Genomic DNA, 26202 nt, shown 5'->3' with positions numbered 1-26202 from the left:
GCTCAAGCCTATAATCCCAGCACTTTAGGAGGCCAAGGCAGGAGGATCACTTGAGCCCAGAAGTTTGAGACCAGCCTAGATAACATAGCGAGATCCTCTCTCTAAAAAAAAAGAAAAAAATTTAAGTTAGCCAGGCATGGTAGTGCATACCTGTAGCTCCAGCTATGCAGGAGGCTTAAGTGGGAGGATCACTTGCACTCAGGGGTTCAAAGCTGCAGTGAGCCATGATCATACCACTGCGTTCCAGCCTGGATAACAGAGTAAGAACTTGTCTCAAAAAAAATTAATAGCATGCAAAATTCAATCATATTTCATACTGGCAAGGAACAACTGAAAACTGAACTTTCAAAAACAATAGCTCCAAAAAATGAATTATTTAGATGTAAGTGTAACAAAATATATGTAAGAGATTTACAATGAAAACTAAAAAAATGCTCATGAAATAAATCAAAATGAAAACATAAATGGGGAAACATAGCCTGTTTATGAACTGAAAGACTAACTATAGTTATGATGCCAGTTCTCCCAAAATTGAACCAATACAAATAGATTTAACATAATGCCAATGAAAAACAAGATATTTTGTACATATAGACATCTGAGTCTAAAAAGATTTATATGGAAAAGCAAAGAAACTAAAATAGCCAAAGCAATTTTGAAAAGAAAAAGTTGGATGCATCATAGTACCCAATTTTAAAACTTCCTAAAAAATTACAGTAATCAACACAATGTAATGAGAGAGGAGAAAGGAAGAAACGGGTCAGACAGGCAGTTAGGGTAGGTCATCTGTTGAATTCTTTCAAGCAAAAGAACAGCCTGCAGGCACAGATAAGGGAACTTGCACAGTCGGGCTTGCCTAAGACATGCCCATAGCCACACAGATAAGAAAGGCTGCACAGGTGACTTGCCCAAACACACCTGCAATGGAAAATTCCATCCCCTGAACATGTGCAGTAAGCGGAATAAAGCAATATGGAGTAACTCAAGCTTAGGGCCCACATGCGCATTAAAAGAATGGGATGGAACTACCAGAACTTTGTGCCTTATGCAAATAAGACACCCAGCCCTCATCAGTTTCTTATAAAAGTCTTTGCATTTAACTGTAAAAACAGCACCCCTCTTCTGGATCCCTTCATCGCAGCTGAGAGCTTTCTTCTTTCACTTATGAAACTTTCACTCCAACCTCATCCTTTGTGTCCCTGCTCCTTCATTCTCTTTGTCATGAGACAAAGAACTCTAGGTAATACCTCACAACTGAGACTGCTACATTGTGGTGCATTGACGAGACTGTAACAGTAATGTTGTGAAGGGGTAGATAAATATCAATAGAACAGAATAGAGAGTCTAGGAATAGACCCACACAACTATGAACAACTGATTTTTTTACAAAGGTGGAAAAGGAACTAAAAAAGAAAGGAACTTACTCTTTTCAATAAATGGCATTGGAACAATTGGACATTCATATAAATAAAAATGAACCTAAAACACTGTTTTGCACCTTATATAAGAATTAACTCAAACTGGACCACAAATCTAAATGTGAACAAGTAAAACTATAAGAATTTTAGAAGAAAATGTTTGTAACCAAGGGTTAGATAAAAAGTTCTTAAACATGATAACAAGGAGGAATCTAAGCAAAAATGGAGAAGTAGATATCATAGCTCCAAGGGCCTGTCCCTCTGAAGCAATATCAAAAACTAAAGAAAAATTGTCAATACCAACTTTGTCAGAACTCTAGAACACAGTCACAGGTTTACACCAGTTAAAAAAAAAAAAATCCAAATCCAGAAGAAAGCAACTTCCAAATGGCATAAAAGTCTTTGACATTTTAGCTTCACCTTGTCCCATCCTCCTCCCTGGCTTGTTGAGAGTCTTAAACTTGACATTCTGCATTCCTATAGTGAGAACTCGGTCTCTGGTTCTCTAGGGAGCAGAGCAAACTTTATCTTCAAATGATTGTGTTTATCTGATCTAACTTGTCTGGGGACTACCTATATTATTAATGCAAGGTATCTGCCTTTGTTTCACCTACCTCAAAATTCCTTCAGGGAAGAAAAGCAGCAAATATTCCTCAAAAACACTGTATTGCAAACAAACAATCCCCAGCGACCTATACAAAAGACTGCAGATAGTCCCCAGTACACAGCCAATCTGTACAAACTTGGAGAATTTTTTTTCTTTTTTTTAGAGATAAGGTCTCACTCTGTTTCCCAGGCTGTAATGCAGTGGAACCATCATAGCTCACTACGGCTTTGAACTCTTGGGCTCGAGCAATTCTCCCACCTTAGCTTCCCAAGTAGCTAGGACTACAGGCACATGCCACTACATCTGACTAATATTTTAAATTTTGGTATAAAGAAATAGGGAGGGTGGCTGGTAAGATGGCCGAATAGGAGCAACTCCAGTCTGCAGCTCCCAGCGAGATCAATGCAGAAGGTGGGTGATTTCCCCATTGCTGGTGTGTGTCAGGTTTGTCAAAGATCAGATGGTGGTAGATGTGTGGTGTTATTTAGGAGGCCTCTGTTTTGTTCCATTGGTCTATATATCTGTTTTGGTACCAGTACCATGCTGTTTTGGTTACTGTAGCCTTGTAGTACAGTTTGAAGTCAGGAAGCGTGATGCCTCCAGCTTTGTTCTTCTTGCCCAGGATTGTCTTGGCTATGTGGGCTCTTTTTTGGTTCCATATGAACTTTAAAGTAGTTTTTTCCAATTCTGTGAAGAAAGTCAGTGGTAGCTTGATGGAGATTAACATTGAATCTATAAATTACTTTGGGTAATAAGGCCATTTTCACAATATTGATTCTTCCTATCCATGAGCATGGAATGTTTTTCCATTTGTTTGTGTGCTCTCTTATTTCCATGAGCAGTAGTTTGTAGTTCTCCTTGAAGAGGTCTGTCACATCCCTTGTAAGTTATATTCCTAGGTATTTTATTCTCTTAGTAGCAGTTGTGAATGGGAGTTCACTCATGATTTGGCTCTCTGTTTGTCTGTTATTGGTGTATAGGAATGCTTGTGATTTTTGCACATTGGTTTTGTATCCTGAGACTTTGCTGAAGTTGCTTATCAGCTTAAGGAGGTCTGGGGCTGAGATGTTGGGGTTTTCTCAATATACAATCGTGTCATCTGCAAACAGAGACAATTTGACCTCCTCTCTTCCTATTTGTATATGCTTTATTGCTTTTTCTTGCCTAATTGCCCTGGCGAGAACTTCCAATACTATGTTGAATAGGAGTGGTGAGAGAGGGCATCCTTGTCTTGTGCCAGTTTTCAAAGGGAATGCTTCCAGTTTTTGCCCATTCAGTAGGATATTGGCTGTGGGTTTGTCATAAACAGCTCTTATTATGCTGAGATACGTTCCATCTTACTTAGTTTATTGAGAGGTTTTAGCATGAAAGGCTGTTGAATTTTGTTGAAGGCCTTTCGTGCCTCTATTGAGATAATCATGTGGTTTTTGTCATTGGTTCTGTTTATGTGATGGATTACGTTTATTGATTTGCGTATATTGAACCAGCCTTGCATCCCAGGGATGAAGCCGTCTTGATTGTTGTGGATAAGCTTTTTGATGTGCTGCTGGATTCGGTTTGCCAGTATTTTACTGAGGATTTTCGCATCGATGTTCATCAGGGATATTGGTCTGAAATTCTCTTTTTTTGTGTGTGTCTCTGCCAGCCTTTGGTATCAGATGATGCTGGCCTCATAAAATGAGTTAGGGAGGATTCCTTCTTTTTCTATTGATTGGAATAGTTTCAGAAGCAATGGTATCAGCTCCTCTTTGTACCTCTGGTAGAATTCGCCTGTGAATCTGTCTGGTCCCAGACTGTTTTTGTTTGGTAGGCTATTAGTTATTGCCTCAATTTCAGAACCTGTTATTGGTCTATTCAGGGATTCAACTTCTTCCTGGTTTAGTCTTGGGTGAGTGTACGTGTCAAGGAATTTATCCATTTCTTCTAGATTTTCTAGTTTATTTGCGTAGAGGTGTTTATAGTATACTCTGATGGTAGTTTGTATTTCTGTGGGATCAGTGGTGATATCCCCTGTATCATTTTTTATCACGTCTATTTGATTCTTCTCTTTTTTCTTGTTTATTTTTCTTGCTAGTGGTCTATCTATTTTGTTGATCTTTTTAAAAAACTAGCTCCTGTATTCATTGATTTTTTGAAGGTTTTTTTGTGTCTCTATCTCCTTCAGTTCTGCTCTGATCTTAGTTATTTCTTGCCTTCTGCTAGTTTTTGAATGTGTTTGCTCTTGCTTCTCTAGTTCTTTCAATTGTGATGTTAGGGTATCGATTTTAGATCTCTCCTGCTTTCTCTTGTGGGCATTTAGTGCTATAAATTTCCCTCTACACACTGCTTTAAATGTTTCCTAGAGATTCTGGTACATTGTGCCTTTGTTCTCATTGGTTTCAAAGAACATCTTTATTTCTGCCTTCATTTTGTTATGTACCCAGTAGTTATTCAGGAGCAGGTTGTTCAGTTTCCATGTAGTTGTGTGGTTTTGAGTGAGATTCTTAATCTTGAGTTCTAATTTGATTGCACTGTGGTCTGAGAGACAGTTTGTTGTGATTTCTGTTCTTTTATATTTGCTGAGGAGTGTTTTACTTCCAATTATGTGGTCAATTTTAGAATAAGTGTGATGTGGTGCTGAGAAGAATGTATATTCTGTTGATTTGGGGTGGAGAGTTCTGTAGATGTCTATTAGGTTCGCTTGGTCCAGAGCTGAGTTCAAGTCCTGGATATCCTTGTTAATTTTCTGTCTCGTTGCTCTAATATTGACAGTGGGGTGTTAAAGTCTCCCACTATTATTGTGTGGGAGTCTAAGTCTCTTTGTAGGTCTCTAAGAACTTGCTTTATGAATCTGGGTGCTCCTATATTGGTTGCATATATATTTAGGATAGTTAGCTCTTCTTGTTGAATTGATCCCTTTACCATTATGTAATGGCCTTCTTTGTCTCTTTTGATCTTTGTTGGTTTAAAGGCTGTTTTTATCAGAGACCAGGATTGCAACCTTTGCTTTTTTTTTTTTTTGCTTTCTATTTGCTTGGTAGATCTTCCTCCATCCCTTTCTTTTGAGCCTGTGTATATCTTTGCACGTGAGATGGATCTCCTGAATACAGCACACTGATGGGTCTTAACTCTTTATCCAATTTGCCAGTCTGTATCTTTTAATTGGGGGGCATTTAGCAATTGTACTTATGGAGATAGAGTAGAATGATGGTTAGCAGAGTCTGGGAAAGGGTAGTGTGTGTGTGGGGGCGAGTAAGGTGAGATAGTTAATGAGTAAAAAAATATAGTTATATAGAATGAATAAGATCTAGTATTTGGTAGCACAACAGGATAACTATAGCCTACAATAATTTATTGTACATTTAAAAATAACTAAAAGAGTATAATTGGATTGTTTGCAACACAGAGAAAGCATAAATGCTTGTGGTGATGGATACCCCATTTACTCTGATGTGATTATTATGCGTTGTATGCTTGTATTAAACTATCTTATGTATCCCATAAATATATATACCTACTGTGTACCTGCAAAAATTAAAAATATAAAGTTTTCAAAAATCAGTTTTTCTTTTAAAACCAAGGTTTACATATTCTCTAATTTTATCGTTTTCCATCACAATTGAACAAAGTTGTTTTGTATACATACAGTGATATTAAAGTTTTTTAGTTTTGGCCTCTTATAATCATTTTTGCTTTTGACCCAGTTGTGTTAAATTATAAATCAGTGGTGCTGCTTTTTAAAAACTAGCATCAGCATTTCTATTTTCCCCATTTCTAATCATCTTTAAAATAAAGGGAAAATTTAGTAAAAAAGTCATGTGATTTACAAGTATAGTTGAACAAAGATAGTGATTATATGGAAAGCATATATTCACTAGAAGCTATAAAACCATGTTATAATTAGAAATAATTATTCTTCAGGAGATTTTAAAAGTTCAAATTCCAAATTTGAAATATCGACTAAGAATATTAAAGTAGGCCAGGCACGGTGGCTCATGCCTGTAATCCAGCACTTTGGGAAGCCAAGGTGGGTAGATCATTTGAGGTCAGGAGTTTGATACCAGCCTGGCCAACATGGTGAAACCCCGCCTCCACTAAAAATTAAAAAGTTAGCTGGGAGTGGTGGTGCGCACCTGAACTTCCAGCTACTTGGGAGGCTGAGGCAGGAGAATCACTTGAACTGGGGAGGTGGAGGTTGCAGCGAGCTGAGACTGTGCCACTTCACTCCAGCCTGGGTGACAGCAAGACTCTGTCTCAAAAAAAAAAAAAAATTAAATTATAACATTTGAAAATACAGATAAAATCAAAGGCAGATTATTTGCAAATACTTGAAATAAGTACTAGGTTATGCATTGTACATATGAGTATATACTATTCTATATATCATTACATATTACATATATTTATTACATATGTTGTTATACACATGTACCTGTGAACATGGTAGTTTACCTCGTTACTCATTTAGGCCAAGGGAGAGTAGAATATTAGGTTATTGTTTGGTTCAGTGACATTTTGGAATTCTGAACCAGGAATGATGTGTTGAAAGTAAAGACTAAAGGTCTTTCCTTGCTTCCAGAGGTACTTGCAGAGTGAATTGTTTACTGTTTCACTTATTTAGCCTTTCAGTGTTTTTATTTCAACCCTCTGGGGTGAGAGAAATGCCATTTAGTAAAAAGCAAATGCTAATAATACTAACAATTTTAACAATAGGGCATAAATACTTTGGTCATTAATTACATTTTTGTTACCTCTGAAATTTTACAGCATTAGTTACTTTTAGTTATCATTTACTGCAGCCAGCAGTCAAGACACTTAGAGCTTTTTATATTTTTTCCCTCTTGACTGTGAGCACCTTGAGGGTGCTCTTGTCTTGTTTTTTGTGTGTGTGTGTGTGTGTGTGTGTGTGTGTGTGTGTGTTATGTGTCACAGTGCCTGGCACTGTTGATTTTTAGGGAATGTTAATTGTGAGAAAGAAGTAATGGAAACTTATTCTTGTAATCCAGTTATCTTTATATGATTTGTGAAGTCATCTAGTAGTATGCATGGAATAATCACTGTGGTGTATTTGTGGTGACCAACAAGAAAATAAATGAATGGAAGACTTGAAAATCTAGGCATCCCACTTTAGTCCAGTGTATTAACTAGCTCCCTGTACATTTCTCTTCTTCTTGGCTAAAGCTTCAGCCTAAAATCATTGTACTTAGGGTATAGGTGTTCTCAACAGTTAGTCCATGTTGCCCTTTCTTCTCCATCTGCTGCCAAACCAATGACCAGTATGTGGTGTATGTTTGGTAAGTTCATGAAGTAAGTGTGTATGTGATCTGATGTTGACTGGGCACCAAGTATTCAACATTGCCCTAGAGACACCCATCTTTGGCATGCTGCACATATACTGCGTCCGTATATATAAGTTTGTACCTCTCCCAGATGAAGTGGCTTTCTGTGAGACCTGTGATAATAAGATAAACATTAGTAGCTGGAACCCATAGAAGGAGAAGCAGATAGGCTATTGGCAGGTCACATCAATTTTCCTGAAGCTTGGATAAACAGCTGTGAATCTCAACATATCCTGACCTTTCCTTTGGAGAAGGCTGGCAAGCCTATGGGTGGCTGTTATCTCGCTCAGAACTTGGTAATACCAATTTATTTTAGTCAGGTGGCTTACATTTTGTCTGGGAGCCTTACAGCAATGAGAATTCTCAATTATATAGTTTCTTGATTGCTCATAGTCTTTTATGGAACAAGAGAAAGAATGAATGAGACAGTGATAGAAATTGAATAATATTATATTGAATGCTAAAATATTTAAAATATTTATTGGACTCTCTTGTATTCTGTTAGTCTATAATTATGTGTTCTTATTAAGATTCTTTTCCCATTAGCTAATAACAAAAATAGCTAATTTCGTTGGGTGCTTAACTCTTTGCCAAGTACTGTACTGGATTCTCTTTATTCTATTTCAATAACTTACAATCTAGGTTTTATCATCAGCTTGAACTCCATAGTGACATCTCTCTCACAAAAGTATAAAGAACTCATTTTTATTCAACAGCCATTTGTACATGCAATGAATATTGCATGGATAAATGTTGGGAGAGCCCCACTCTTTGAGTTTGGAACAGGGAGTTGTCAGAGCTGTACTCATTATGCTATCTTTACAGGGATACAATCCTAAGCTTTTAACAGGTAAATCTTATAAAGTTGGATTAGGGACTCTGGAAGGGCATAAGGGAAGACCAAAGATGACCTTTGAACCTTCTCTCCTATACCACTTTTTAAAATCTTTTCTTGAAGAAAGGAAACCAAGATTGTGGGAGGCATGGTCCAGTCTTACCTTTTCTTATCTAATTTGTAAGCGTTCTAAGAAAACAAAACATGCACCTTCTCCTTGAGCTCCTGTGTGAACATGAGACCAAAGCTTGCATTTAACACTGAACTTTACCTACCTCCCTAGCAGTAGGTAAATCATACTTTTCAGTGCTTTTATTTGGCAGACAGGAAAATCAGTTGCCCTCTCAAGTAAGTAATGTTTTGCTTCAAATATGTAAGAAGTTATCAGAATTCATTGATACTAAGTTAAGATTTTTTCTTATAATATGTGAAATCAGTAACTAAGACATTTTTTGTGTCTCTTAATAAGTTTACAGTTATTTGGCATATTTGTATATAAAAACATAAATATGTATATTTTTAGTTTAGTTTTAATATAGCATTTCTGTACTTATGTAAACTATAGTTATTTTTAGTTGGAATATACTGTTGCCTCTTGCAATATAGAAACTACCTAAAAAGTGAAATGAAAAAGGTAATGAAAAATCTTTGTAAACACATTAAAGATTTAAACAGTGGCTGAGTCCAGTGAAGGGAAGTGATCCTATGAATTAGTAATGAAAGTGCATTTACAGGTTATTATCTTACTGGGGTCTGAGTTTTAACAGCTACTGGTACTTTAATAGAAGCCTCAGTAGTCTGTAATAATTTGAGTATTCATTCTGTTTATGGATTGTTTTTTAATAGAAACACTGAATGGTGTTGCCTCTCTTAAATTACCTCAAATAGTCATTATAAAAGTAAGATAAGTAAATATATCTTGTAAACACGAAAGGTGCTTTCTCACTCTCTGTGTATATGCATTTGTAATATAAAATTTTTAAATTATATATTTTTTATTGAGTGGTAGTTTTAAGAGTTTGAAACTTCATTTAGATCCCATGAATACAATTTGTGACAATTTCTAAGTATATTGGGTTGAAGAAAAATAAGTTTGTGTTATAAACAGAATTGTAAGAATATTTCAGTTGAATAGGAGACCAAGTATTTTAGAAGCAGATGTTGTCATATAAGCAATGAATATGTTAATTATATGTTATTTGTATGTATTATTTAATTAGGTAAACACCTAATTTGCTGGTTGTATACAAGTAACACTTTGTCACCTGCTTGGTTTTACTCTGTGTAGTTGAAAACAAACTGCAGGCTGGGTGCAGTGGCTTATGCATGTAATCTCAGCACTTTGGGAGGCTGAGGTGGGAGGATCGCTTGAGCCCAGGAGTTCAAGGCTGCAGTGAGCTAGGATTGCGCCACTGCACTCAAGCCTGGTTGAAAGAGTGAGACCCTCTGTCTATTAAAAGAACGAGAAAGAGAAAAGAAAACAAATGGTAGTTTCTTAAAACTATTCTAAAATTCTAAAATTTAAATATTTAAATATCTTACTAATTCTCTGGTCTTTTCTGCAGTTAGTTAGAAGGAGGAATGTTTTCCTATAATCACAATTGATAATACTAGTTTTTAAAATAATTCACTTAAAGAATACAAAGGATAATAACCTTTTTTGGTTTCTAAGCAAAGCACACATATAGGTAATTGCTTTTAAATATTATGTGTGAAACAACATATTAAAAGTAAGTAGCCATGTTGTGTCACTCATTATTAAAATTATCTTAAAAGTAATCACACACTCATTTGTTCCTTTGTAATTATTTAAGAGGGGGAAATAGAAAATAAGTAGAATTCATCTCATTTATTTTTGCACTGTACTAGATACTTAGGTGAGATATAAAGAGATCTTCAAGTCCCTTTCCTGAGGAGCTTATGGCATTAAAGGTGGGATAAGAAATATTTTTAAAATACTTCAAAAACAATAAAAGTAACGTGTGAATAAATACCAAAGAATGTGATAAAATTGATGTGTCTTAGAAGTGAAAAGATGAAAATTTTAAATAGAAGTTGCCTGATAAAAGTATGCTTATGATGTTAGAAGTTAGTTCATTTCATTACCAACTGTTCACTAGGTTTTTAAATCAAGTACATCTCAATCTTAGTTCTGCTGACCTGTTGTTCTAGTAAAGAATCACCATCAGCCTTGTTGGAGCACAGGCATTATATATCTTATATATCTTTTATTTCTAGGCATACTTCCGACAGGGTGTTGCCCTCCAGTACCTTGGACGTCATGCCGATGCCCTGGCAGCCTTTGCATCTGGACTGGCTCAAGACCCCAAGAGTCTCCAGCTTCTGGTGGGGATGGTGGAAGCCGCCATGAAATCTCCCATGAGAGGTAAATATGATAAAAGTACTTGGTATAACATTAATTTAAAGAAGATCATTTCTAGCCTTCCAAGACTTTAGGCTCAGGCACAGAGAATTGATAGGTTATCAAATTTGCTAAGATTTGATATTTTAGACCAAGGAAGATCAAGAATCACTGCCAGCAAGTGATGTTAATGAGGCAGAATAGTATGGTAGAAGGGCCACTCACCTAGAAGTTTGTGGACCTATATTACATTCTTAAATTTTTCATTAACTAACTGTATGACAGTGGGTAAATGGATCAACTTCTTTGGCTTTCGGGATTATTTAAAAACCCTTATAGTTTTTCTGTAGTCTGAAATTCTGTAATTCTAAACCACAGCACTTTTAGTAGGAAATTGAATCTCAGATGGACCAATATATGCCTTCTAGAAATACTCAAATAAGACATTTGACATTCTTATATTTCATAAAAGAAATACATATCTAATTGTAGGCTGTGTCTCAAATTTTTCAGAGGAGCATTAAAAGATTATGTTGAAATAAAAAAAGAAAAAAACAAGACAGATACCAGTTTACATATTTTCTGCCTGTTCTTACTTCTACTTTACGCTGGTTGGTATTCTGGAACAAACAAAAGAATGGATTGAAAATGGTACTGTAGAGGTTGGAGGAGTTCTGAGGCCCAAAACAGATTGGCTTCATTTTGAGGAATGTTGATTTTTGAGGAATGAATTCTTGGGAAGATTTGACTAAAAGTATGTATAGCAATTGCTATCTTTGGGGAGTGATGGAGACACCGAGGCAGATTTATGGTAGACAGTCGACAGCTAATAATGATTCATTTTAATCAGGGTATGTCAAGCAGAACTGTTTTTCAGTCTGAAGTGGTATGTTTTTGAATTTTTCATATGGAAAAATGAACCTAAAATTTTTGATGGCAGCATCATTCAACATTTTATCTAGTTTTGAAAATGTTCGCAGCCTTAGATATTTTTAATATAGTGGCTAGTATTATACTTGGCTCAAAGTATGTGCCAAATAAAAGTTTGATAAACTAAACAGTACTCATTTGGTCTCTGGGTAATTCATAGCTATAAAAAATATTTTCCTGAAATTCAGGGATTTCATATTTTAGGAAGAAAGTGTCATGCGATTTTATAAACTCTACAAAGCTGAGGTTTTGCCACAGGCTGAAACCTCCTGGGGACCTGCTGTTAATAAACTCTGACTGGCCAGGTGTGTTGGCTTATGCCTGTAATCCCAGCACTTTGGGAGGCCGAGGTGGGCAGATCACGAGGTCAGGATTTTGAGACCAACCTGACCAACACGGTGAAACCCTGGCTCTACTAAAAATAACAAAAAATTAGCTGGGTGTGGTAGTGCGCGCCTGTAGTCCCAGCCACTCAGGAGGCTGGGGCAGGAGAATCGCTTGAACCTGGGAGGCGGGGAGGTCGCAGTGAGCCGAGATCGCACCACTGCACTCCAGCCTGGGTGACAGAGTGAGACTCCGTCTCAAAATAAATAAATAAATAAATAAATAAATAAATAATAAATAAACAAACTCTGACTTACAGCAGATGCATTTTGGAGCTCCAGGGCTTAGGGAGCAGGGCAGAATGGACAATAAGAAAAAAATCATCCTATCTCTCCTTTCCATTTTCTAGTTTTTTCTTGTTCTCTCCCTACACCCCTCCACAGGGAATTTACATGGAACATTTTTTATTTAGTTCATGAAGATACTACCTCTTTATTCTGAGGTGCTTCTGCTGCTGCCTTAGAATATTGGAGTGAATGTGTTGAGATCAGTAGAATCATACTTACCATTTTGCCTTTGAAGCGATCTATTTAGATAAATGTAGGGAAATCTTCCCTGCGCTGCTGGAAATAGCTCAGAGCTGCTGTCGCCCTTAGGGTTTTCTCTACCAGGTTCTTTCCCATCTTATGTAAGTGACCTAAGGCTGAACCTGGAGAAAGCAGCTTCTTACTGGTTCCTGGAGTGCTTCAATATCTTCTTCTCTTCCCTTAAGGCAATTTAATTTATCTGATTTATTTTCAGCATTGTCTTTACCACTGTATCTATTCCAGGTGGGCTTTTCTTACCAACAATTTATGGAGTATGTTACATTGCACAGTATTGTTCTGTGCATCATCCCACATCTTAATGACCTCTCTTTTTGTCATATGGTTGTAATTGACAAAATTTCTCATCATTTGCTGCCTACTTTTTTTTTTTTTTGAGATGGAGTCTCGCTCTGTCGCCCAGGCTGGAGTGCAGTGGCGCCATCTCGGCTCACTGCAAGCTCCGCCTCCCGGGTTCACGCCATTCTCCTGCCTCAGCCTCCTGAGTAGCTGGGACTACAGGCGCCCGCCACCACGTCTGGCTAATTTTTTCTATTTTTAGTAGAGACGGGGTTTCATCGTGTTAGCCAGGATGGTCTCGATCTCCTGACCTCGTGATCCTCCCACCTTGGCCTCCCAAAGTGCTGGGATTACAGGCGTGAGCCACCGCGCCCGGCTGCTGCCCACTTTTTTAGCCATTGTTTATTTTAGCCTCGTGCAGCTTCCTAAGTTTTGTCATTGCTGCAGAGCTGTGCAGTTTGGGTCACTTTACATATACGTCTGATCTGTTATGTCAGTTGTTTTTGTATTTTTTTTTTTTTTTTTGTATTTTAAAGGCTAGTCAAATGAAGCAGTGAGAGTGGAGAAGGATAAATCTGTAACTGGTTGTGATCAGTTAGTTGTAACTACTATTGCACTCAGACCAGCCTGTTTTGTAATCCTTGAATGCAGCAGAGAAAACTGGTCCTGGTGCTTGTATAAGCAGACAAAACTCTCATAACCTGCACAGTGTTCCTGTGGTTTGGTCTTTGTGGAAGTGTTAAGATTTTATTTCTTTTAAGGCAGGGACAACCTAAATTAATATACCCTTTCTCCCATATAAATACGTTATATTTGTCCACATTGATGCTCATTTGATTTTTTATTATTGTTGGCTGTATTTCTAACTGATTAAATCTGTTTTACTTTATTTTTTTAGTTTCACTCATGCACACAAATCAGATATCAGCTAAACCTTTTCTCCTGTGGATATACTTATATTATTTTATATGATGTATTTCTCTTAAATCATTAATGAAAATATAAAATAAATACAAATTGATACTTTCTTTTATGTGATTTCTCAAGTAATCCTTTTGCCATATTCTATTTCTTTTTTAAGATAATCTTTCAGCAATTTCAGTTTATTGTATCTTACAAACATTTAAGCAAATTTGGGTGTTGTAGCATACTATTACTGCCAACCATGGATTTATTAATGTAATTACCAAGTGAGATTGAGTTTACCTTTATTTGTTCCTCTAAAGATGCTAGGGCCGCTTCTTGCTGAGGACCTTTTGTGTATATTGTCTCTCTTCCTGTTAATTTGGCAATCTAAAAACTATTACATTTATGGTCTATCACCTGTTGTGTTGTTTCCACCAGCTCCTGGGGACCCAGGGAAGCTGATTTTATGAAGTGCTGATGGAAAATGCCTGTTAAATGTATAAGCTTTTCTTGCAGGGTCAAGTTGGGGCTCACCTTTTATTTGTCTAATTGTCTACCCTAAGTGGGCTCATTCCCTCTGATTCTCTTTTAGGTGGGAGTCACTTTTCACAGGAGGCTTCCTTCTGAAATGTTATGTTAAAAACATAGGCTCGGGCACCTGTAATCCTAGCTACTCAGGAGGCTGAGGCAGGAGAATCGCTTGAACCCGGGAGGCGGAGGTTGCAGCGAGCTGAGATCGTGTCCCTGCACACCAGCCCGGGTGACAGACAGAGTGAGACTCCGTCTTAAAAAAACAAAAAACAAAAACCAAAAAACAAAAACATAGGCTTCTTCCCCCAAAAGATTGGAATCTAATTCCAGCACTGCCATTTGCTAGTCCATTGGCTGAGCAAGGTTGCTTCCTTTCTCTGTACTTCAGTCTGTATCCGTAGAGAGAAATTATAATATCCATCTCCTAATGTTGTTTTGAAAGTCAAGAACTAGCATCTAAAGGCAGGCCTCTGTAGGATGCCTTTTCCTCTGCAGTGTGATGCCATTCTTCTCACCGAGGAGTGGAAGCAGCAGCAGTACTAATTGCTCTTATGTTTAGGGCAGGCGTAGTGGTGTGGATGTGGAAGGAACACTACGTAGTACCTAAGGTCCTCTTTATGAGCACTCACTGGAGAAGTTTCTCTCAAGCCTTAGAAAAGACCTTGCCTCTCTTTCCTTCTTATCTCCAGATATTCTCAACTAAAACTATCTGCAGTTCCTAGAAAACACTATGGTTTCTCCGTCTCTGATTTCTATTCAGGTACCACTTCCTCTGGGAAGCCTTCCCAGACCTACCCTGACAGAGTTAATAACAACTTTCTCTTTTGGGGTCCCATAGCACATTTTACCACTTCTAAGAACTCTGGATTAAAAGTTATATTATTATTATTATTATTATTATTATTTTGAGACAGGATCTCACTCTGCCACCTAAGCTGGAGTATAGTGGCATGGTCATGGCTCACTGCAGCCTCGACCTTCCCGGGCTCAGGTGATCCTTCCACCTCAGCCTCCTGAGTAGCTGGGACTGTAGGTCTGTACCACTACACCCAGCTAATTTTTGTATTTTTTATAGACATGAGGTTTCACCATGTTGCCCAGGCTGGTCTTGAACTCCTGGGCCATTGGCCTTGGCTCCCAAAGTGCTGGGATTACAGGTGTGAGCCACCATGCCTGGCCTCATTATTTTATGTATTACAAAGAAAGAAAAAAACTACCGACTATTATGATGACACATATTTTTATTTTATGTTTTCCGAAAGAGCTCTTTTAGGCCCCTTTAGATATAAAAGTGACACACCATTTCATAGCACTGTTGATTTCAGAGGTATTAAATCCCAAATTCAGAGATTGTTAATATGTGAATAAATGTGCATCTCTGAACTGATGAAATACAGTATATCTCTTAGTTGAGTGTGATTTTGCTTATTATTAGCCTCTGCTACATTCCTACAAGCTCTTCAAGTGTTAGGAAATATGATTTTGTTCATCTTAAATTTTTAAAGCCTTTACATTTCAAAAACACTTAATGGTTGATGAACTGATGTTGCAAAGGGCTTTATGTTCTTATGGAGTTGGTTTGACATTGCCTATTTCATGTATTATCCATAGACTCTAGAAAGAAAAGCATCTTAATAGCTATAGGCTGCCAAAACTCTGTTTCACCTAGCCTGATAAAATCACAAAATTAGTCCCTTTGCTAATAGCCCAAGTTTACTCTAAAATCGGAGTTAGAATAATAGAGTTGAAAATAATTGTAGTGATCACCTATACATTTAGAAAACTTATCTTACCACTTGTATATCTAGAGCTTTTGATTATGGGTGTGGACCAGTGAGACATAATTACAACCCAAGCGGAGAAATTTGATAGTAAAAAATTTTTAAATTTATATACAGTGAAATGGACTTTTGTGTGTATGTATCTGTACACATTGACATACATATATACATGAATAGATTTGTGTAACAATCACCAGTTTCAACCTACGCGTTTGACCAAGTGAGAGACTGAGGCTATGTGACTTTTAAATACAGGTGTCTGTATGTATTTAGCTCAGTGTTTTCCCCATTATTTCACATCAACTTCCTTCCCTACAAGTATTCTTTGGTCAGTTCAAGCTGGCCTATTCAGCAATCCCTGTCATTTCATGTATCTGTCTTCTCTGGCACTTCTGTTAGGACAAATCTTCTGCATAAAATGCCTTCTACTCTCAGAAAATAGCAAAGACTTGTCTAAGCCCTACTCTTTTTTCAAGAGATCAATTTCTTCTTCCATGAAGCTTTCCAGTTGCCCTTGATAATCCCTCCCTTTTCCAAACTCTTATAGCATGTTTTGTATATTATCCTTGCATTGATCTTTGCATTATAATTTATCTTTTGAAGTGTATTTCCTATATACCGAGAAGGGAAATTTTATCTTTTACTTCTCTTTCATCAGTTTCATTTTCATCTAGTGAAAATTTGTACAGTTAAAGATTTCTTTCTCTTTTGGGAATCTTCCACGTATTTCTGTGGCAATGTTCACTCTTCTTTCTACCATTGTTGTAGAATTTTAGAGGCTCAATTAGATGATTATTTCTCTAACTTAGCTGTGGTTGCTATAGGAAAAGATATCACCAAGTAAAGCATGGTGTCTTTGCTAGCTATCAGTCAGTTTGGGCTGTCAGTTTAGGGCATTCTTCCTCATACATTTCTGCTTCTGCCATCTATAATAAAAGCTGAAAGCATCAGATCCTAATTTTCCCATTTTCCCTAGCAGCTGGGACCCCATCCTTGAATCAGAAGCTAAAGGTTCAAAGAAGAAAGGATAGCACAGAATTTGTTCTGGTGGTGGAGGTGGCAGTGGTGACACTGATTTTCCAAGGGTGGCATTCAGTGAGTTGGTGTGGGGAGGAGCATTGTAAACTGTGGTGTCCTGTGTTTGGTTGCAATGGTTATGCTGCCTTCACCAGGCAGCGTTTGTGGTATGATTTTGACTGAGGGTTTGGACGCCTGGTTTTCCACCTTTCCCAGTAGTCACTCAATGTGTTTCTTTTCTGTTTACAAGCAGCCAAGATTGGTGTATGTTGCTAGCAACTAAGAATCTTGCCTGGTGTGATGTCATAGAACCTGGGCTTAGAGCCCTGCAGTGTGTTCTTATCTTGGTTATGTCCCAAGCTTTCCAACTTGGGATAAGTCACTTAAATACTCAGATTCTTCATTTCTAAGAGAGCATATTTTAAAAGTCTTTTCAACTCTAAAATTCTATTATTTTTGTTTCTGCTAATTGGCCAGTGGGATGCTGATGTGATCAACATTGACTACCAAACTCATCAGCGGACGGCACCACCAAAATTCTGCTCACAGTATTTCATTATGGTATTGTGCTTTTGTATTCTAGCAATTCCTGGGTTCTTGTGCCTGTACTTAACCCCATTGGTTAGCTAGTGTTTACCAGCACTCTGCACGGCTTGAATCTTGACAGGTGTAAAAATGTTCTTTGTTCTCTGTTAGTGATCTGATTGAAGGAAAAAAATGCTTTAGGCACCCACAGGTTTCCAGGTTTCAAGATTTCTGTGGCATTGTTGACTCAGACAAGAGCTTTTTAGTGGAGACTTTAGATTCAAAGTCATAAATTGTAAAAATTACATTTTAATGCAGTGCTGTTGGCTAGGAGACTCAAGATTTAAAGAGACCACCCCTTTTATAGTTTTTTTTTTTTACATGTGCATAGTGGAATAACTAATGTGAAATAGTTTTTCAGGAAAGCTAATAATAAGTGCTTTTTAAGTGCCATCTCATTGTAGGGCTATCATTAATAACTCTGCACTTGTCTTTAAAGAAAAAAAGAATTGGGAGAAGGAGCTTGGAGGTTATCTACGTTCAAACTTAGCTTCAAATGGGAAAAAAATCTCCTGTGGCTTACTGACCCCTATGTTCTTTTAATACCATATGAAAATAAAATGAGACCAACATTAATTTTATCTTCCATCTTAATAAATAAATTCAGATGATTTCTTTATGGTTTCATTTATGACCACAAGAAAAATGCATAATATTCTTCTAGTCGGGGGCTACTGGTTTCCGAAGCAGCAGTGGATACTGGGTTACCAGTGAGAATGACAAGGGTTTTGTTGGGAGAGCTTTTATAGCATCTTCTAGGAAAAAATATGGACAGGGTTTATTAATCTGTCGTTCAGATTCAAGTTTATCAGCCTGGGCGTGGTAACTCACACTGGTAATCTCAGCACTTTGGGAGGTCGAGGTGGGAGGATCACTTGAGCCGAGGAGTTTGACAACAGCCTGAGCAACCTAATGAGACCTCATCTCTACAAAAATTTTTTGAAAATTAGCCACAGACGATGGTGTGTGCCTGTGGTCCTAGCTACTTGGGAGGCTGAGGTGGAAGGATTTACTTGAGTCTAGAAGGTTGAGCCTGCAGTGAGCCACGATTATGCCACTGCACTCCAGCCTGGGTGACGGAGCAAGACCTGTCACAAACAAACCTCTTATCAAATGCCAGACATGTTAGGGACTTTCACCTGTGTTCATGATGCGTTTTCTGAGTACCCACATTGTGCCACTTGCTATGGTGTTACAGTAGTCCTATAGCAGTCTTTAGATTTAGCTGGAAAAATATTTAAAAAATTAATACGTGTAGAACAATTCTAAAATAGTTAATGACCAAACTGTGCAATACCATTAAAATGCAGCACAAGTTTGGATACACAGATTAATGTATGCCAGAGGAGGACCTGGGGATATTCCCAGTACAAGTAGGACTTGAGGGATGTGCCTGTAATATTTTGAGAGGGGAACAGGACAGAGGAGAGGGAACTATTCAGGGAAAGTGGTACATGATGATCACAATGGCCAAAAGAAAGGATAAGACATATACATGCAAGAGTGAGGAGAAGGAAATTACTGGACTGGGGTTTGTGATGCTAGTCATATGAGATAAGTGGTGCTAGAATAAAGGTTGAAGAGTTTATACTTGAAATAAGCCACAAAAGATATGATAAACATTTATTTCTAGAGCGTATTAGAAAAGATTGTTTTTGTATCATCCTACATTCTCCTGTTATGTTGCTGTTATTGTTGTTTATTTTCAGACTCCCTCGAGCCCACTTATCAGCAGCTTCAGAAAATGAAACTGGACAAGAGTCCCTTTGTGGTCGTGTCTGTGGTTGGGCAGGAACTCCTGACAGCTGGCCATCATGGGGCCTCTGTGGTTGTCTTAGAAGCCGCACTGAAGATTGGCACCTGCAGCCTCAAACTGAGAGGTTCTGTTTTCTCTGCCCTGAGCAGTGCTTACTGGTCTCTTGGAAATACAGAGAAGAGCACCGGATATATGCAGCAGGACTTGGATGTAGCCAAGACCTTAGGTAGAGTGATGCTTCTCTATTTCAGTGCAGAAAGGGAACAAAGAAAGCTGAGTAACATGACATGAATGAGAATAATATGCAATGAAAAGTGATCGCCTGGTTGCTCACACCTGTAATCCCAGTGCTTTGGGAGGATTGCTTAAGGCCAGGAATTTGAGACCACCCTGGGCAAAATAGTGAGACCCTGTTTCTTAAAAAAAAAAAAAAATAGCTGGGTGTGGTGTACCTGTGTCTTAGCTACTCCGGAGGCCAAGGTGGGAGGATTGCCTGAGCCCAGGCATTCAAAGTTACACTTAGCTATGATGATGCTACTGCACTCCAGCCTGGGCAACAGAGCAAAACCCTGTCTCTTAAACAAAAAATAAAACAAAGAAAAAAAAAGCGAGTGCCTCTAGAACATTCTCTGTTTTAGACTATTCAGGTCTTTACAGCTTTCTCATATAACAAGGTGCCAGCACTCCCAAAAGGCCAAGAGATGTGGAATAACATACTCATTGCCCTCTTCAGGGATTTGGGCTTACAAAATATGTCAAATGATAACATTGTTGGGTCAATCTTTCATCTTAGTTTTAATTTTTTCCTTCATTAGGATGCGTTATCATTTTGTTGAAGGAGATTAGTATAGTATAGAGGTTAAGAGTGTATACTGTGGAGCCTGACTACTGGGTTTAGAATCCTGGCTCTGCCACTTACTAGCTGTGTGACTTGGGGCAAGTTTCTTAACCTCTCTGTGACCCACTTTTTTCATTTGTAAAATAAGTATGGCTTATGATTATGATGGTCATTATGGTGATTATTCAAGGACTTACAGGATTGGAGTAAGAGAAGGGATAAGGTGCATCTACCACCAGCATACTTGTAAAGATATTTTTTTGTAGATTTGGAGTCAAATGACTGAACCAACAAGCTGATGGTTGTTTAGAATCAAAGGTCATTAGCAGGGCAATGAGGACTCAAACAGCAGCTAGTTTGTGTTAAGGTCTTTAACCTTTTGTTTCTAAGACACCTAAGTCCCTGTCTGCAGTTGTATGTTATGACAATAAAAGCAGTTGTTATCCAGAGATTTAAATTCTAGGGCAGTAACTCCCCACATAGGGTCTTGTGGAAGAAACAAATACTTTTCTAATAGAAGATAAGTGAAATCTTAGCTAATAAATCTGTGGCTCTTAAATTAAGATGACCATTATATGTTATAAATAACATTATAACTTAGAGAAATTTTTTCTTTTTTTTTTTCTCAATTCAATCCAGGTGACCAGACAGGAGAATGCCGAGCTCATGGGAATCTGGGCTCTGCATTCTTCTCCAAAGGAAATTACCGGGAGGCTCTCACTAACCACAGGCATCAGTTGGTACTCGCCATGAAACTCAAAGATCGAGAGGTAGGAAGTTTATCTGCAGACCAAAAACATTTTTTTTTCTTTTGGAAATGTGGAGCTCTATTTTCTGTTAAAAACAAACTGTTTCAGGTATCTTAAAATATTACTTTCAGAAGAAAGTATTACTTGAGACTTACTGATTCTGTTTTTCATCAACAATTGAGTGTTCTATATATCCAAGCATAGTCCTTGGATATATAGAAATAGAGAAGACTTGTTCTTGACCTCACGATCTAACAGCTTTGTCAGATGCATTGTTCTTATTATCTTCAAATGTGCATAAGTTTATGTAAAATTAGAAAAAAGCTATGTCATTATGCCATACTCATTAAATTGTAAAAAGCAAACATTGGTTTTTTTAGATCAGATATTATTACCGCAGACTCTTTACATTGTTGCTTTGGTGGATTTTCAACTCAGGAGCATATTGAGTTTGATTGAGATATCTGAATCATACTGGTAAAGAAATATCATCATAGTCTTATTAAAGAGATGAACTATAATATGTTCAAAGAGTTAATATTCAGTAGATGTAACATGATTAGAGACTGTCTGCAGAGTGGAAAGAAGGTGAGGTTTGGTGTCAGATAGGCCCAGATTTAAATCCCAGCTGCAGTACTTCCTGGCTGTGGGATCTTGGGGGTAGTTATAACTTAACTCTTCTTTTTCTCCTCCATTTTCTTATTCAGGAAATGATTATTCTATTTATTCCAAACACAGTTGTGGTAGGATTATAAATAATATATGTAAAGTGCCCGGCATGGTGCCAGGATTTCCATAATGGCATTCCACAAAGGAATTCCATAAATGATAGCTTTTATTATAATATTATTAATAGGGAAGAGAAGGTTAATAGCAGAGGCAACAAAAAGTTTATAAATCAATCTATGTGTTGAGAAATATGTTTAGTCATGTTTACATCTAAGAATTCTACTATGGGACCTTATAAAGATTAATTATATTGTTTAAATGATCCAGCAACTACGTGTCTCAGGAACATGGTCAGGCACTAGGAAGGAATTGGGGAAGAAAAGCCTTTGAAAGCCACCAAAACAGACTATTGAAGGGCCATGGACTTTGGGCAATATTATTCTCTAGAGAGTTACCTGAACACTTTTCTTATTGCCCAAATAACTAACATTACAAACAATTCTTATAAGCCAGATGATCTGATTTCTTGATGTTCAGGGAGTGAAATGAGAGATCAGACTCCTAGAGACAGATATACTAATGGCATTAAGAAGTGAGAGCCAGGTTTAAGAAGTAAAACAGCATAGTTGTCCAGATAGGTCCATTTAGTGAAGGGACAGATTGCTATAAATATGTCAAGAGCTGGCCAGGCACGGTGGCTCACGCCTGTAATCCCAGCACTTTGGGAGGCTGAGGCAGGCGGATCATGAGGTCAGGAGTTGAAGACCAGCCTGGCCAACATGGTGAAACCCCGTCTCTACTTAAAATACAAAAATTAGCTGGGTGTGGTGGCGGGTGCCTGTAATCCCAGCTACTTGGGAGGCTGAGGCAGGAGAATTGCTTCAACCCGGGAAGTGGAGGTTGCAATGAGCTGAGATTGCGCCACTGAAGTCCAGCCTGGGTGACAGAGCAAGACTCCATCTTGGGGGGGAAAGAAAAAAAAAAAAGGCAAGAGCTGCATTTATACTCTTTTTTCCTAACCTTCAAGGTGTATGTATTAGCCCAATTACTACAAAGGGTAGAAAGACTTTTAAGATATCTGAATCATAATGGTAAAGAAATATCATTGTAGGACATTCTCTATGATATCATAGATGTTATATTATAGATGTTAAACAGGAGGAATGAAATTTTTCTGCCTTCCCTCTTCTCAATAGTGTAATTTACGTCATGTTTTATAACCTCTGCTGTACAATATGTTATTAAGAAATCATTGAATTATGAGGATAGAAGGGACCCTGAAGTAATACTGGTACCCATTCCTTCCCCAAACCTACCCATCTTAGGTTTGCCACCTACCATAGTCACTTCTAAGCCCTTCCAAAATTGCCCTTTGCATAGCTGCTACTGCAGTAGCACAAGCCTGCCTATTGGGATATTCTCCTTATGTATAAGTAATAGACTCCAGGGCTGATTTAAAATTCCCCCTGAGGAGAATTTCTTTTTTCCCTTATGTGAGGAGAGTATGTCCAGCTACCACATTCCTTTTCTAAGCTTAATAATATTCTCCTCAAAGTTTCTGATTATTAAGACTTTAATAATCAACTTCTTCTGGCCATTCCCTTTTCACAGTGGCCCATTTGGGTTGTCAGCCATAGATAGCTCAACTATTGCAGAGGCCTCCTGAGTTGTTCCTCCTGTTTAGCCCATGCTCCTGCTTGATGTTGCTCAAGCATATTTATCTGATTCCTTGACTAACCTATGGAATTTCCCCTTTTCCTACTGTGTTTCTTCTATTGTGTTTGCTTCTGGAATTATAAAGTACCATTCATTTTCATGAGAAATTAATGTATTTTTCTTAGTTTTTTTATTCATAAATTTATTTCGTGTATCTGATACATAGTAAGCATTCAGTAATTCTTTTTAACTTTCTGTTGGAGGGGGGGAACATTTCATATCTAATCTTTTAGCAAATTTTGAGTATGCAATATGATTTATTAACTGTAGCTTTCTGGTATACATTAGAGCTCTAGAACTTATTTATCCTACATAACTGAAACCGTATACCCTTTAACCAACATCTCCCCATTCCTCTCCCTCAACCCACTCTGGTAACCACCATTCTGTCCATGCTCTGCTTGCATGAATTCAGCTATTTTAGACTCCATATATAAATGAGATCATGTAGTAATTTTCTTTCTGTGTCTGGCCTGTTTCACTTAACATGATATTCTCCAAGTTCATCCATGTTGTTGCAAATGTCAGGATTTCCTTCTTTTCTAAGTCTGAATAACATTCCAATATATGTATGTGTCTGTGTGTGTGAGCTATAACTCCTTTACACTTTCGTTTCTTGATAGATACTTAGGTTGTTTCCATATCTTGGTTATTGTGAATAATTCTGCAGTGAACAAGGGCATTTCTCTAATTTTTAAGGTTGTTTTTGAGTGCTGCTTCTTACCTGCCCATGTTTTACTGGAAATCTTTATCCCTGTATTCCTGAAACCAGACACCAATTGTCAAGACTGGAGTTAATATTGGTTTAGAACTTACGGGAATGTACAAAATATCTAAAGTGAACTATTTCAGCAATATGTATTTTATCTATGTTAAGAGTTTTAGCTGGCCATTCTGAGATTTAATTCAGTTAAGTGTGATGTCTTCTCATAAGGCACCTAATACTGTGCTTAGGGTTCAAGGTCTGGGTAGTGTGGTGTGGGGTTACTCCCTTTGAGGGACTTACTTTCTTTTTGAGGCAAGCTTTAATACATGAAAATATTAAAACATTGTTTCAGCAATAAATGATGAATGCTGTCTTAATCACTGCTGAAATTCTGGAATTCTAGAGGGGCAGAAACTGGTATAAACTTGAGGAAGCTTTGTGAAACAGGTGAAACTTGGAATGTGATCCTAAACTCTGGTTAGCATATCAGTCATGTTTTGCTGAGTGATAAGAGAGTTCATGGCTTTAGCAAAGACCAGATATTTACCACAATCCTATTCAATATAGTCACAGAATCTTGTTTTTCATAAAAGTTGGTATAGTGTTGGGTACAGTGGCTCATGCCTATAATCCCAGCACTTTGGGAGGCCAAGGTGGGCAGATTACTTGAGCCCAGGAGTTGGAGGCCGAGGTGGGCAGATTACTGGAGCCCAGGAATTTGAGACCAGCTTGGGCAACATAGTGAAACCCCATCTCTGCAAAAAATACAGAAATTAGTTGGGTGTGGTGACACATGCCTGTAATCCCAGCTACTCAGGAGGCTGAGGTGAGAGGATTGCTTGAGCCCGAGAAGCCAAGGTTGCAGTGGGCCAAGTTCACACCATTGTATTCCAGTCTGGGCAAGAGAGAGAGAGGCCCTGTCTACAAAATAAAAGTTAATATTTATTAGTTTTATCCAATTACATAACAATTACATGAAAATAACTAATTATAAGCCTATGTATAACAATTACATAACAATTACATGAAAATAACTAATTATTAATTATAAGTTAATATTTATTAGTTTTATCCAATTACATAACAATTACATGAAAATAACTAATTATAAATACTATTAATATTTTTGGTATGCTCTTTTAGTCATATATGTAATTATAATTGTTTATATTTATTGAAACCAAAATGGAAATCTTCTTGGAGTGCTGTTTTATAATTTTTTGCACTTATGTTTTTCCACTTATAACACATTTCTTCATTTTATTAAGTGTTCTACTGAAATTCTTATGACTTTCTCATAATTCATTTCATCTGTTTTCCTACTGTTATATATTTAGGTTGTTTCAAAAGTTTTGGTATTATAAAATCTGGAAAAATATCCTTGTAGGTAAATCTTTAAATACATCTCTTATCATTTCCTTTAGTTAAATTATTAGAAGTGGGCTGGTTTGGAATAAACATAGTAAGGCTTCTTATACTTATTACTGATTGCTCCCAGGAAAGCTGCATCTGTTTCAGGCCTATCAGCAATGTATCAGAGGTTTCATTTCCCTGCCTTGGCCAACACTGGGCATTAATATTAAAACCAAAAAGTCAATTTAATAGGTTAAGAAAAAGGTAATATCTTATTGTTTTAATTTGCATTTCTTTGATCACTACTTGGGTTGACTGTTTTTTAAAATTTCTTTTATAAAGAGCTTTATGCTTTTATTTCCTTTATAAAGAACTTTAATATTCTAAACCTGTTTTCTTCTATAGTGGTACTGGTTATTTTGTATTGGTCTGATTCTGGGCATTGCTGTGTCATCCCACTGAGCTGTTAGGCACTTTGTGTTCAAATAACACACAGTTTTAATTATTATTGCCCTATAATACATTATATTTGCTAGAGAAGTCCTATACCATTATTCTTTTTTTTTAATGTCTAGGATATTCTTGTCCCCTTGCCCCATAAATGAACTTTAAAATCATTTTGTTAGATTTTAGAGAATCATTCATTGGGGTGTCTATTGGAATTATATTGAATTTACATATTACTTATGAATACATTGATGTATTTTCAAGTCAGTCTTCCATTTAGTTGCCTGGTCTGTCTCTCCATTTATTCTTACATGTCCCCTCACTGATCTACACTTTTAGGGAGATTTTCTTTTCCTATACACTTCAGGTATCTTATTGGAAATGAGATATTTTTTCATTGTGTGTGTGTGTGTGTATGTGTGTTTTGAGACAGGGTCACTCAGGCTGGAGTGCAGTGGTACAATCATGGC

General features: G+C 37.3%; 1 protein-coding gene across 11 annotated transcripts in view, besides 1 other annotated feature; it reads left to right on the top strand.

Annotated features, from left to right (window-relative positions):
• Positions 1-26202, top strand: part of TTC28 (tetratricopeptide repeat domain 28) — a 701827-nt gene that overhangs the window by 362781 nt on the left and 312844 nt on the right. For all 11 annotated transcript variants that reach the window (NM_001393403.1, NM_001145418.2, XM_047441214.1 and 8 more), the window contains 3 exons: positions 10417-10564; positions 19208-19480; positions 20732-20862. In NM_001393403.1, the coding sequence (NP_001380332.1) occupies positions 10417-10564; positions 19208-19480; positions 20732-20862 (552 nt within the window). The remainder of the gene's footprint in view (positions 1-10416; positions 10565-19207; positions 19481-20731; positions 20863-26202) is intronic.
• Positions 325-1524: an enhancer, noted in NCBI's record as "MED14-independent group 3 enhancer chr22:28711524-28712723 (GRCh37/hg19 assembly coordinates)". NCBI's record gives its function as "activates an origin of replication core promoter dependent on BRD2, BRD4, P300/CBP and CDK7 cofactors, and independent of MED14, by STARR-seq in HCT116 cells {active_cell/tissue: HCT116}" and the evidence as "EXISTENCE:reporter gene assay evidence [ECO:0000049][PMID:35650434]".

This window comes from Homo sapiens, chromosome 22 (genome assembly GCF_000001405.40).
Source record: "Homo sapiens chromosome 22, GRCh38.p14 Primary Assembly".
Taxonomy (NCBI): Eukaryota; Metazoa; Chordata; class Mammalia; order Primates; family Hominidae; genus Homo; species Homo sapiens.
The sequence above is the reverse complement of the archived record's forward strand: the minus strand, read 5'-3'. Positions and strand labels throughout refer to the sequence as shown.